The following is a 14,019-nucleotide window of genomic DNA, read 5'->3' as shown; positions in this document are numbered from 1 at the left end:
GCAGCAGACCACACTCTCTCTGGTACCCATTTGGCAAAGGGAGACAGGACACACCCTCTGCCCCATACATTGTTTTATTTTCTTTTCTTCTTCTTCGTTATTTTATTTATTTTATTTATTTATTTTTATTAAGAGACAGGCTCTGTTGCCCAGGCTGAAGTGCAGCAGTGCAATCATAGCTCACTGCAGAGTCAAACTCCTGGGCTCAAGAGATCCTCCTGCCTCAGCCTCCTACGTAGCTGGAACTACAGGGATGAGCCACTGCACCCAGCCCCTTCCCATATATTGAATTCTGATATATCACAGAGGAAGATGGCTCCCCTCACCACCCCCCAGGTGAATTAAGGGCTTAACTATCAAAAGCAAAACTTAAAAACATTTAGTGGAAAATATGGGTGAAAATGACACAAAAACTCAATCATCAAAAGATGGATAAATGTGAGTCTATTAAACGTAAGTATTTCTATTCATCAAAAAACCTCATAAAGTGAAGAAAGGAACAAACTAGAAGAGCTCTGTATCACCCAGAACCCAGGAGGAGGGGTGAGGGTTCCTGCCCCCTCCATGCCAGGGCCCTCCCCCAGCCCCCCCATCCCCTCCTCACCTCATCAGGTGGGTTTTTCACCTTCTGCATGTATCTTCGAACCACATCCTCGGGATTCTTACCTGCAGGGACACAGCGGGGTGGGTTTGAGGGTACCCAGAGTCTGTCCCCGAAGGCTTGGCTCAGAACTGGGTCAGGGGTCAGAGGGCAGGGGTCAGGCTGGCAAGGGTTGGCCGGGGTCAGGCTGGCAAGGGTTGGCCAGGGTCAGAGGTCAGGGGTTGCTGGAGGTTAGCTGTAACAGGAGCTGGTGAAAGATGGGGCCAGGGCAAGGGGAGCTGAGATCAGGCAATGGAGGTGAGGTAGTAAATGCTAAGAATAAGTTGGAGACCAGGGGTCACAGAGTTGTGGTCAAGGCTTAGTGGGGTTCATCTCGTGTGAGGCAGGGCGTGGAGGGCGTACTCTTTTTAAGGTGCTTCTTCTTGGTCTTGCGGCACACCCCGGGCACGCCAGGCACGGGCTTCACGTCGCTCTTGCTCACGGGCGGCGGGTGCAGGATGGGCTTGGGGGCCCGCGTCAGGCACACGGGCAGCCCGGCCGCGCACAGCAGTATCCCGGTCATCCCTGGGGGTTAGGGGGCGCAGTCACAGGGCGGGGCGCCATCCCCGCCCAAACCCCCGACCACTGGCCCTGGGAATCCCGGGGCCCTCGGGTGGGTGGGAGGGTTGCGCTCTTGGGCCCCACCCACTCAGCCCCTTGAAGGCCCCTGAAGGGCCTTTCTGCGGGCCACGCCCGCCCTGTGTCCTGGGCCCAGTGGAAGGGGGCGTTTCCTCCGGGCCACGCTCACCAGCCCATCTCGGGGGCGGGGTCACCGGGTGACAGGCGGAGCTGCCTCCTAGTGGGCCCCGCCCTTCTTTCCCGCCCTGGGCCAGACCTCACCTGCCAGGGCCGGATGGACCGGCCCAGTACCATTCAAGTTCTTCACCGGGAGTGCGGGGACCCTGCGGGGAGAAGAGAAGAGGCCGCAGCTGGACTCCAGCCCCCGAAGCGACGTCAGGGGACCTGGCTTGCCTTCTGTCTCTGGCTCCTGGGCCACACACCCTGGCCTCTTTGTACCTCTCTGCCAACTGCAGTTACCTCCAGGAAACTCTCTTTCTACTCTGACATCCTATTATGGGGCGGGGGTGGCCAGGACCTCCGCCCAGGTTCCAATGGGATGCACCCTTAGACTTTAGTGCAGACACCTCCTTACCCTACAGCCGGCTCCTCCCTCGAGAGGGCGCTTTGGCTCTGAGGGCTCCTTTCGTTGGCCGCTGTGCCTGAAACCCAACTACTAGTGGTGTAGCTATTTTAACATCTCTCAAAGCTTGTTAGATGTAGCATTATTAATTTCCATAAAACGTTCCAGGAAAGAAGGATTCAGGAATCAAGTAAGTTAGGAACACGTCACTGTCTCCCTCTCTGAAATTCACAACATATCTGAGCATATTAAAGGCTCTGACAAGCCCTGCGTAAGAACATATCATTAACAATGATAAGTCCAGGTTTTCAAAAGCATTTGGTGATGAATTTTTTTTCTCTTCTGGAATATTTACTGATGTCAGTTTCTGTGACAAGGTACTATCCTCTCTTCAAATGAAGAGCCCCTAGGAAAAGGTATCCTGACTCTCCTCTTCCTCTGGCCCTCAAAAGAGCTTTGGCTTTTGGAGTCAGCCAGAGCTGCTTTCATATCTCAGTTCAACCACTAATGAGCTGGGCGACACACAGCACATCATCTCATCTCTTGTAAGGGGTGGTCTGTAAAATGGGGACAATATGGTACCTTTTTTTTTTTTTAATCTGCTGTGAGGATTCCGTGAAATTATATGTGTCAAGGGCCAAGCACAGTTCCTGGTACCTAACAGCTACTAAAAGCACAGCCATCGGTATCATCACTGTCAGCTGTGCAATCCTGGCCGAGTAATTTCACCTCTTTGCTTCCCAGGCACTAAGTCCTGGTGTAACTTCTCTCCATCTTAGAGAGGAAACCACAAAACTGCTGCAGTGACAACCTTGAACAAGTCACTTAACTTCTTGATCCTCAGTTACCTTATCTGTAAAACAGGCATATTAACACCTCACTTATAGTCGTTGGGAGGACTGAAGGAGAGCTTGCGGTGATGTGTACAGTGTGTCTGCCTGAGTCCTCCTGACTTCAGCACCTGTTTATGCAGGGGAACTGGTGTCTTGCTGTTGATGGGCATGGAACCCAGGCTGGATACGTTCTGATGAAGAGGGGTGTTCTGAAATCCAGGGGTCAGCCTGAAGGCCTTGGGGGATGTGCCAGGAGAGGGGGCAGGAAGGGCTGGGAGCAGTGACAGCTGGAGAAGGAGCTGCAGCAGCCCCCTTGGCTCTGGCCGTGCCTGTTCAGGTCACAGCCTGTCTAATGCTGTCTGGTCACCTGTCCTTGGCAGGCACAGTTGGCACCAGAAAGCATCTTCAAGCAAATGGTGCCCTTGGCAGGCTTGGGTACTGCTGCAGTGGGTGCAGACACACAGACATACACACCCAGGGCACACACCATCCACACAGATCCACAGATCCAAATATACACACATGCATGGAGAAGACCACACAGACTTATCATACTCCCCGGGACACATTACACACACATGTTTAAGTACACAGACACACAAACACACACAACCCAGGGAGTACATCACAGATACATGCACACACAGACACACAGATACCAGGGAGCCTCCCTCCCCATCCGTCTACTTGGGGAACATACCGCACACACTAGGGAATGCACACCATGAACATATACATGGATACACACAGGCACACTTCAGGGCACGCCCCCCACAAACATACATGGATTAAGATACACACACACTCACATATTCCAGGGAATGCCTCCCCACACCTACATACAGAGACTTGTGCACACACGGGGACACACACATACACACAGAAGCACACACAGCTCTCCCCTGGGAGGATACTCCATTGGACAAGAGTCGGTGGCTCATGTAGACCAGTACCGCACCTGCTACTGCCGCCCCTCTCCCCAGCTGCACAGAGCTGGGTAAGGTGGGCAGCAAACCCAGAGGAGCATGCGCTCAGCCCTACAAGCCCCCGGCGCGCTGCAGCCTGCAGAACGGCCTGCCGTCCACACGCGGACACACGATTCCGCACCGCCTGTGGGGAAGTACTCGTGCGTACTGATTCACATCATGCATGGGGGCGCAGGAGGACACGCTGACTCACTGCACACGAGGACACATGCGCACATGCTCTGACCCACACCTCCTGACACTGACACACAGACACTCAGCCTGGGAGGCCCACACCTGCACACATGCAGAGGCACAATCACACATGCACACAGGTGCAGCGCACACACACCCACTTGGTGGCTGCTCGGCTATACAGGATAGTATCACGTGGCCAGGACTCCCATCCCAGACCCCTCTGAGGGCTGTGGAGAGGTCTGGAGCAGACATCTGGATTGAGCCCCTTGAGGAGGCGCCGGTGTGATGGAAGTCAATGAACACAGCTCCCGAGGGAGGCAGGATGGGATGGCGGGTACCCTGGGTCCCCCAGGACCTGGTCAGTGGAGGTGGGAAGAAAGCACTGTGCCTCAGTTTCCCCACCTGTAATGGGGATAGAGTCCTGTGAAAGTTAAATGTGCTAAAACATGTAAAGCTCATCATTTGGCGCAGGGATGAGAGTGGAGGTGTCTTGATTTTCTTGTCGGGCACCCTGCGGGGGGGCCCCAGGAAGAGGGGCACTGAGTATTCATTTGACCCTTCTCAGGGTCTGTCATAATCCTCCAGGGCCTTCCTCAGGGGGGCAGCTGTCACCACTCTAACTTCCTCCCTCTCTATACTTTTATAGGAATGCATAGAGGCATTTCCCTCAAGCTTTTCCTCTTTCCTGCCCATTCTTCAAGCACCTCTAGTGCAGACAACCTGGTTAAGTCTAGGTCTGCCTCACCCCTCTTTCTTCCTTTCTGCCTCACAAGAAGAAAGTATCTCTTTTTTTCTCCAGGACTACCTATAAATTGGGTGGAAAGAAAAATATTGAGCATGCATACCACCACTGGTTGGTCTCCTGCCTGTGGCAGACATCACTAATCCATCACAGCACTCTCTCAAGCTTAGCAGAGTCCTCAGTACAGCTCTCCAAGCAGCCTCTATCAATCAGTATAGCCAGTTTGCTACCCCAGGTCTATATAATGCCCAGTCTGGCCCAGTGGGTAACCCTGCTCTTGCTGAGTGTTTGGTCTAGGAGTTAGACAGAGGGTACTCCAGGAAGGGAAGGATTTAGATCTCAGCTGCCCTAAAATTTCTGGAGCCCCTTAAATACCACATAGCCCTAGATTACAAAAGTCAGTCTTGCTCCTGGGAAGAGCACTGTGAGTGGGGTGTCACTGTGGGACTGTTATTTATTTACCCATCAGTGAGCCTGGGGGACAGTCCCGAGGTAGTCTCCAGCTTCTCTCTAACTGCAGGCCTCCTGCGAGAACCCAGGGTAGCAGAGTTCCCACGAACCCTGAGCGTGGGAGCCACCCGGCCCCCTTTTGATGTGGGACACGCTGTTTCCTCCGAGTCAGTGAGAACATCCTCCTGCCTGGACAAGCGACCGCTGCCTGCGGGCCTCCCGGAAGGGGAGCCAGCCTTCACCCCTAGCTCTGCCTTCTTGGGGGCCCAGGCTGGCACAGGACCTGAGGAGTCCCTCAGGCCCTCCCCGAAATCTACTCTGACCAGAAGGCAGGCATGGGCCCCACTGCCATGCAAGCCTCTCTGCCTTTCCCAGTCCCAAATCAGATCCCATCTGTCCTCTGCTCTCACTCCTCCTGCAGCTCCCACTTTGCTCACAGTTAACACCTGGCCTCCTGATCTGGCCCCCATCTACCCTCTGAACCTCATTTCCTATGTGTTCACCCCTCTCCCACTCCACTCCAGCCACCCTGGTCTCTCTGCTCTTTCTCAAGCATGCCAGGCACACTCCCACCCCAGGGCCTTTGCACTTGCTGACCCTTTCCCAAGGTGCTCTTCCCAGATATCCTCATGGCACACTCCCTCACTTAGCACAGGTCTCTGCTCAAATGTCAGCTTATCTGAGACACCTTCCCGACCACTTTATTTAGTTATTTATTTATAGACAAGATCTTGCTCTGTTGTCCTGGCTAGAGTGCAGTGGCTTAACCATTGCTTACTGCAGTCTTGAACTCCTGGGCTCAAGCGATCTTCCCACCTCAGCCTCTTGAGTAGCTGGGACTACTGGCACACACCACCACACCCAGCTTAAACAACAACAACAACAACAACAACAAAACTTTTGAGGAGACAGGGCCTCGCTGTGTTGCCCAGGCTGGTCTGGACCTGACCTCCTGGGCTCAAGTAGTCCTCCCTCCTCGACCTCCCAAAGTGCTGGGTTTACAGGCATAAGCCACTGTGCCTGGCCGCAACCACTTTATTTTTAAAAAGCCCATCTTTGTCCTTACCTTACTGAATTCTTTTTTCATAGCACTAATCACGACCTGACATTATAGTCTTTTTTTAAAATTATACTTTAAGTTCTAGGGTACATGTGCACAACGTGCAGGTTTGTTAAATATGTATACATGTGCCATGCTGGTGTGCTGCGCCCATTAACTCATCATTTACATTAGATATATCTCCTAATGTTATCCCTCTTTAAGCATGACCAGGCCCTGTATGATCTGGTCCACGCCGCCTCTTCTGCCAGACAAAGTTAGAGCAGGAATGTCAAATATATGAGTGCATACCACTACTGTCCTCCTAGCACCCACAGCAGGCATTACTAATCAATTTCGGCATGCCTTACCGCTAAGCCAAGATGCAACTTCAGAATCCTCCTCAACACAGTGCTCCAGGAAGTCACTGCCCTGGAGCAGAGATGGCACATGAGATGAACTCTATTTGTCATTTATTTTGCAGATGATGGGACTGAAGCCCAGAGAAGGGAAATGACTTCACTAAGGTCACCCAGCTGGTTGGTGGTGCAGCTGGCACTGGGTCCTGGAGTTTCCGAGTCAGGGGCCAGGGCTGACCCTGCCAGGTTGGTCTGTGGAGCCATCTGGAGTTGAGCCAGCCTAGAGAGCCCTCTGTGCTCTACAGGTGGGCTGAAGTCTTTGACCTGGATCCTGGAGCTGGCTCAGGCCTGGGCAGGGTAGATCAGGGCTGTCTAACTGGATCCATTGGCCTGCTTTGGCCACCTCTCTCTGTCCCCTAGAGGGGTCCAGGATCCCGAAACACTGACAACTGACCCTCCCTTTAGGGCAGCCAAGTCCCCTCCCTCCTCCAAAGTCTGGTCTCCTTATCTCTCCCCTCCCACCCCCAGCAGGCCTAGACTTGTTACTTTCTCTGATGCTAGTTTCCAGGTCCCCCATTGGCCTTGGCCCCCTTCAGGATACCTCACACTTACCCAGCAGACCCCAAAGAGCCCCAGGAGCCTCAGGACTCAGTCATTTGGGGCCAAGTGGGTGAGGAGGGGGCAGAAGTGAGGATGTCACTTTATGGGGAGAAGGAAGTTGAACAGTGCTTTAGGGACCCCCCACCCTCTCCCTTTCTCCTTTCTAGGGGTGTGAGCCTGTCACCTTTCCCCACTTTCAGGGCTGTCTCTGCCTCATAGCTGCCTTCTCCCCCTCCTCCCCCCACAGTCCTGGGGAACACAGCCTGGGGCCAAGTCCCTGCCGCCACCCCCACTGCAGAGACTTGAAGGACATCGCTGCAAGCCCGGGGGACCAGGTGCCCATGGACTCCTCCTCAGCTGCTGTCTGGGGTCCTCACTTCCCCTTTCCTTACCCCAGCACCTCCGTCTGCCTAGACAAACCTCTGAGCTTCTCTGGGCTTCAGTGTCCCCTCTGTGAAATGGGACCCCTTACTTCTGTCTTCTAGACCCCTTACTTCCATGTTCTAGAGATTAAAGGATGTAAAAGTCCCCTCGGGAGACATTTTGAGGTGTGAGTGGTATTGGAGGCTCAGATTTATCTAGAGGTATGGGGGCTGCGGGGGTCACTCTTCAACCCTCCCGGTCCTCCAGCCTGCCCAGCTCTCTGCGGGGGAAGGAACGGGAGGAGATGGTTGGGGGCAGGGAGGACCGGTCAGGTAGGGGAGGGGAGGGCAGGACCGGCTGTTCCCACGGCCCGGGGCAGCCACGTGCAGACAGGAGTGTGTGTGGTTTGGTCTCCCAGGGAGCAGGGCAGGAAGTGCTTCAGGTGGGGGGCAGGGTGGGGGGAGTGTTTGGTTTGACCTTGCAGCAGCGGTGAGGCGGGGTGACAGTCACTGCACACCAGTGGCTAGCGGGGCAGAAAAGTGGGGGAGGGTGGGCAGCCAGGGGCCTGGTGGGGTCCTTGACTTCACAGTGTACCTGTCAGTACTTTAACATTTTCAAACCCCTGAAATGTAATACTTATGGAAGATCTGGAGAAAGAAAATGTGGATTTTTTAAAAATAAAAGCATAAAATCACTGCAAGAAATTTAAAGAAAAAAGGAAAAAAAAGGAAGGAAAACCCTAAAACACACCCACCACAACAAAGTCCCTTTGCCCTTGGCCTCCTGCTTCAGCCCCACTGCGGTCTATGCTCAGCATTCAGAGTGAACCTGTTAAAACAGTCCCACCCGTCTCTCCCAACACACAGCCCTGCTGGTTCCCTTCTCATGCAGAGCAAAAGCCAAAGTCCTAACCGCAACCTTCCAGACCCTGTGTGACCTGGCGCCTTTTCCTCTCTTACTTCTTTCCCACCGATTGCCCTGAGCCTCTCCAACCACACTGGCCTTCTCAGGCACCCCAGACCCACTCTGCCTCAGGGCCTTTGCACATGCTGTTCTGCTGTCTGGCATGTTGGAATGCTCTTCCCCCAGTTCTTTTGCTTTTTTTTTTTTTTCTTGATACAGGGTTTTGCTCTGCCACCCAGGCTGGAGTGCAGTGGCTCGATCTTGGCTCACTGCAACCTGGGCTCAAGGGATCCTCCCACCTCAGCCTCCTGTGTAGCTGGGACTACAGGCACGCACCACCGCACCCAGCTAATTTAAAAAAATTTTGTAAAGGTGGAGTCTCACTATGTTGTCCAGGCTGGTCTCAAATTCCTGGGCTCAAGTGATCCTCCCACCTTAGCCTCCCAAAGTGCTGGGATTACAGGTGTGAGCCACAGTGCCTGGACCATACCTTGCTTTTTAACCTCCTTCCACCTTTGCTCAAGAAGGTATTACCTTCTCCATGAGGCCTTTTCTTCTCATCACTCCCTACATCCTTTCTCTCCTATATTTTTCCTCTGTAGCAGTTACTACTTTCTACCATATTCTACAATTAATTTATTCTGTTTCGTGTTTGTCTCCCACTAGAATGTGAGCTCCAAGAGAGCAAGGACTGTCTGTTTAGTTCACTGCTGTGTCCCCAGGGCCCCAAACAGTGCCTGCCACACAGAAGTTATTCAATAAATATGAATGAATTAATTAAAAAACAGATGAACATATGCTATAAAGGAAAAAGAAACAGCAAACTACAGAAAAGATGGGAGACAAAGGGTTAATGCCCTTAATGCAGGAAGAACACTTGCAAATTAATAAGGAAGCAATAAACAGCTCCAGGGAAGGATAAGCCAAAGAAATACACAAGTAATTGGCAAAAGAAGGAACCACTCATGGCCAGTAAACAGGAAAAAGTTCTCAGGTTCAACTAAGAACCAAGGGTACGGAAACTTAAATGACGTCTCTTTAGGAATTATCAGCTTGGCAATGTTGTACAAATCTGATAGAGATGGGAGGGACAAGGGTGGATTTAAAATGGGAGCAGGCCTGGCTGGGCACTGTGGCTCACGCCTGTAATCCCAGCACTTTGGGAGGCTAAGGTGGGTGGATTGCTTGAGGTCAGGAGTTGGAGACCAACCTGGCAAACATGGTGAAACCCCACCTCTACAAAAAATATAAAAAATTAGCCGGGTTGGTGGCGTGCGCCTGTAGTCCCAGATACTCAGGAGGCTGAGGTACAAGTATTGCTTGAGCCTGGGAGGCGGAGGTTGCAGTGAGTGGAGATCTCGCCACTGCACTCCAGCCTGGACAACAAAGTGAGACTCCATCTAAAAAAAAAAAAAAAGGGTACGGGCCTGAGAAATCCAAGTGCTTTGACATCTGGCTTCATGATGGACTATGTGGGCCTGTGTTGCCAGTCCCATTTCACAGATGCAAAAACTGAAGACCAGAGAGGAAGATGAGCTCAGGCAGGGTCACACAGGAATCAGGGTGGGGCTTCTGGGACCATGATCCAAAACAGTACAGGCTGGCTGGAGATGGGGCATCCCCAATATGCTGGTCAACTTGGGTTTTTGAATCTGAGTCCTAATTGTGTTACCTTGTGCAAATGTCTTAGTCTTCTGGAGCCTCAGTTTCCTCATTTGAAAAATGGGGATTATAGAACCTGCCACATTGAGTATCTGTGAGAATTAAGAGAGACATGCCTGTAAATGGCCAGACACAGTGGTTCATGCCAGTAATCCCAGTGCTTTGGGAGGCCAAGGCGAGAGGATCACTTGAGCCCAGGAATTTGAGACTAGCCTGGGCAACATAGTGAGACGCCCATCTCTACAAAAATAAAAAATTGGCCGGGCATGGTGGTGCATACCTTTAGTCTCAGCTACTTAGGAGGCTGAGGCAGGAGGATTGCTTGAGCCCAGGAGGTCGAGGTTGCAGTGAGCTATAATTGTGCCACTGCACTCCAGCCTGGGTGACGGAGTGAGACCCTGTCTCACACACACAAAAAAGCCATGAAATTGAGAGCCTGGGACATAGGGAGCGCTCGATAAATGGAAATAGGCCCGCAGCTATCACTGTCCTCCCACCCACCACGTGGGGTGGAAACTCTGAGTGTGGTTCCTCTGCTCCACAGCTGTGTTCCAACGCACTGGACACTGACCCCTCAGGGGACAGGGCGGATCTTCCCCACCCCCGCAGGTCCCCCAGGCCCAGGCTGCCAGCTGGCTCCCCGCCCTGTCTGTTACAGGGGCAAGTGGAAAAAACCCTGGCCAGGTGGATACTCTGCCCCCACTGGCTGGGTGACCCTAGATGAGCCAATCCCCCTCTCTGGGCCTCCTTCGCTGTTACCCGTCCAGGGCTGAGATGAGGTTGGAGGTGAGAATGACATTGAAGATCTCTGCAGAGTTCACACCTCCCTTGCAAGCTGATCCTTGCTGAGTCTGCCCATGTGAGAGGTGGTGGTTTTAGCTCTGTCTGACAGATGGGGAGACTGAGGCTAGAGAGGCCAAGCCTCAAGTGGGTCCAAGGTCACCCAACCTGTAAAGGGCTCTGGATCTGTTTGGGTCCAGGAGGGGAGAGAAGGAGGGTGGACAGAAGGAAGCCAGGGAAGGAAAGAGAGTGACTAAGAGGAAAAGGCAGAAGACAGAGAAAGAGAGAGAGAGACACAGAGCTACAAAGAGATATGGAAAGACTGAAAAAGACCAAGACACACAGAGATATTGTTTGGTGCAAAAGAAATGGTGGTTTTTGCCATTAAAATTATTGGCAAATTGGCCGGGCGCAGTGGCTCATGCCTGTAATCCCAGAATTTCGGGAGGCCGAGGTGGGTGGATCACTTGAGGTCAGGAGTTCGAGACCAGCCTGACCAACATGCCAAAACTCCGTCTCTACTAAAAATACAAAAAATAGCCGGTCATGGTGGCAGGTGTCTGTAATCTCCACTACTTGGGAGGCTGAGGCAGGAGAATCACTTGAACCTGGGAGGTGGAGGTTGCAGTGAGCCAAGATTGCACCACTGCACTCCAGCCTGGGTAACAGAGCAAGACGGTCTCAAAAAAAAAAGTATTGGTAAATTATAAAAGGAGAGACACACAGACACATTGTTATGGGCTGAACTGTGCCCCAAAGAAGTCATGTGTTGAAACCTTAAGCCTCAGGACCTCAGAATGTGACTGTATTTAGAGACGGGGTCTTTAAAGAGGTAATTAAGATAAAATGAGGTCACTAGGATGGGCCCTAATCCAATAGGACTGATGTCCTTCTAAGAAGAGAAGATTAAGACACAGACAGGTACAGAGGGAAGACCATATGAGGACACAGGTAAAAGATGCAATCTACAAGCCCAGGAGAGAGGCCTCAGAAGGAAACTACCCTGTGACACCGTGATCTCGGACTTCTAGTCTCAAGAATGTGAAAGAGAGAATACATTTCTGTGGTTTAAGCTGTTACTTTGTTACCACTGCCCCAGCAAACTAATACAGACTTAAAGTCATAGAGACAGGCCAGTCGCTGTGGCTCACGCCTATAATTCCCAGCACTTTTGGAGGCTGAGGCAGGCGGATGCTTGAGGCCAGGAGTTTGAGACCAGCCTGGGCAACATAGTGAGATCCTGTCCCTACAAAAAATTTTAAAAAATTAGCTGGGTGTGGTGGTGCGTGCCTGTAGTCCCACCTACTTGGGAGGCTGAATCAGGAGGATTTCTTGAGCCCAGAAGTTTCAGGCTGCCAGGAGCTGTGATTGCGCCACTGTACTCCAGCCTGGGCAATAAGAGCGAGGCTCTGTCTCTAAAAACAAAAAACAAAGACACAGAAACAAAGAGACCAGGGTTGGGAGGGCTGGGAGGTGGTTTGGGGACGAGAGTGACAGTGGGTAGACCTGTCTGCCTGGCTCCTCAAAGACCCCCCACCTCCATCCCTTTCCCCTCATAGGCTGCACTTGGGCCTCAGCTGTCTCAGCAATGGAAAGCTTTAGGCGGAAGAAGCCAGGGTCTGCCACCCCTATCTTCCTTCCTCCTACTCCCCTTCCCCAGCAACAGGCTCCACGGGTCTTGAGAGCCAGAGGGATTTTCCCCGGGGGGTTTCTTGGAGATGGAGCGTTGGGGACTTTGAGCCGGGCTTGTCTGGCTGGGGAGGATCAGTTAGAGGGGCTGGAGTGAGGCTGGGCAGCATCTGCGTGGGTGGGGAGGGATGAGGGAGTTCTTGAGAAGTTTCCCCCACCCCACATCTTCTGTTTTCCAGGCCAATGTCTGGGCTCAGGGAGGGTCAGAAACAGTCCCCAAGGGGAGGGGCAGGAGAAATGATGTCGGCTGTGGGGGAGCGGCATGTGGCTGGAGACAACAGAGCTCTGGCAGGTCAGAGGAGGACATGTTTAATGATCCGCACCCCCAAAGAGAAAACTTCCTTTTCACTACAGCCCTCTAGAGCTCAAGCACACTCTATAGCTCCCCACTGATGGCAGCACCAAGCCCAGGCTTCCCTGAGGCCACCCAACCTGGCCTTGTACCCCCATTTGGGGTAAAAAATCTCAGCCCCCACTGTTCCAGAAGGGAGCCTCTATCCCCCGGTGGTCTCCAGAACCTTCTGGATTCATTCCTACCTCTGCCCCTTTGCACCTGCAATGCCCTGCCTGGGGTGCCCTTCTCCTTCTTGCTGGCGCCTCACTCCAGCCCTCCCCACACCTCTAGCCCTTCCCTGAACACACCACGCCCTTCGAGCCCCCTTGAAGTTGTTCATGCTGTTCCCTCTGCATGGATCAGCTGTTCTCCACATCTGGCCACCTCCTCAGAGGGATTTTCCCTGAATTCCCACATCACCCTGTCCCACTACCTCCCCAGCACTTCTGTCTCACTCCAGAGATCGTCTTCATTTACTCTTTGCTTGCTGTAGGTCTGTCTCCCCATCTGTCTGTGTGCCCCGGGAGGACACAGGCCTTGTTTGTCTTGTTCAGCTCTGTGAATACACACCCACAGCACATATTTGGAGAATTAACACTAGGCCATGAAAGCTGAGTAATTTTCAGCCTCCTCTAGAACAGTAGCTTTCAAATCTCTCTCTTTTTTTAATTTTTTTGGAGACGGAGTCTCACTCTGTTACCCAGGCTGGAGTGCAGTGGCGTGATCTCGGCTCACTGCAACCTCCACCTCCCGGGTTCACGCAATCCTCCCAGTAGCTGGGATTACAGGTGTGTACCACCATGCTCAGCTAATTTTTGTATTTTTAGTAGAGATGGGGTTTCACCATGTTGGCCATGCTGGTCTCGAACTCCTGGCCTCAAGTGATCCACCTACTTTGGCCTCCCAAAGTGAGCCACTACGCCCGCCTCAAATATTTCATCAGTGACTAAGAAATTCATTTCACCTCGCAACCTATTAAACATATGCAGAAATGATGCAAAACATTCATGGAGCAATTTTTTTTTTTTTTTGAGACAGTGTCTTGCTCTGTCTCTCAGGCTGCAGTGCAGTGGTGTGATCACAGGTCACTGCAGCCTTGACCTACTGGGCTCAAGTGATCCTCTTGCCTCAGCCTTCCGAGTAACTGGGACTACAAGCACACCACCCTGCCTGGCTAATTTTTTGTTATTGTTGTAGAGATGGTGTCTTGCTATGTTTCCCAGGCTAGTCTTGAACTCCTGGACTCAAGTGATCTACCCACCTTGGTCTCCCAAAGTGCTGGGATTACAGGCATGAGGCACTGTTCCCAGGCTACATGTAA

General features: G+C 52.4%; 1 protein-coding gene across 1 annotated transcript in view, besides 4 other annotated features; it reads right to left on the bottom strand.

Annotated features, from left to right (window-relative positions):
• Window positions 1-14,019, bottom strand: part of DTX1 (deltex E3 ubiquitin ligase 1) — a 41,296-nt gene that overhangs the window by 3,322 nt on the left and 23,955 nt on the right. Inside the window, exons 4-6 of the mRNA NM_004416.3 lie at window positions 1,481-1,542; window positions 1,004-1,165; window positions 605-666 (exon numbers count right to left, since the gene is read on the bottom strand). Coding sequence (NP_004407.2) covers window positions 605-666; window positions 1,004-1,165; window positions 1,481-1,542 — 286 coding nt within the window. The remainder of the gene's footprint in view (window positions 1-604; window positions 667-1,003; window positions 1,166-1,480; window positions 1,543-14,019) is intronic.
• Window positions 1,287-1,336: a silencer, noted in NCBI's record as "silent region_4890". NCBI's record gives its function as "represses an Ori minimal core promoter by ATAC-STARR-seq in GM12878 lymphoblastoid cells {active_cell/tissue: GM12878}" and the evidence as "EXISTENCE:reporter gene assay evidence [ECO:0000049][PMID:35858748]".
• Window positions 7,791-7,880: a silencer, noted in NCBI's record as "silent region_4889". NCBI's record gives its function as "represses an Ori minimal core promoter by ATAC-STARR-seq in GM12878 lymphoblastoid cells {active_cell/tissue: GM12878}" and the evidence as "EXISTENCE:reporter gene assay evidence [ECO:0000049][PMID:35858748]".
• Window positions 11,803-11,912: an enhancer, noted in NCBI's record as "active region_7060". NCBI's record gives its function as "activates an Ori minimal core promoter by ATAC-STARR-seq in GM12878 lymphoblastoid cells {active_cell/tissue: GM12878}" and the evidence as "EXISTENCE:reporter gene assay evidence [ECO:0000049][PMID:35858748]".
• Window positions 11,943-12,002: an enhancer, noted in NCBI's record as "active region_7059". NCBI's record gives its function as "activates an Ori minimal core promoter by ATAC-STARR-seq in GM12878 lymphoblastoid cells {active_cell/tissue: GM12878}" and the evidence as "EXISTENCE:reporter gene assay evidence [ECO:0000049][PMID:35858748]".

Source organism: Homo sapiens, chromosome 12, assembly GCF_000001405.40.
Source record: "Homo sapiens chromosome 12, GRCh38.p14 Primary Assembly".
In the NCBI taxonomy this organism is placed as follows: domain Eukaryota; kingdom Metazoa; phylum Chordata; class Mammalia; order Primates; family Hominidae; genus Homo; species Homo sapiens.
Note: the sequence above shows the minus strand (reverse complement) of the source record. Positions and strands in the feature narration are given on the sequence as shown.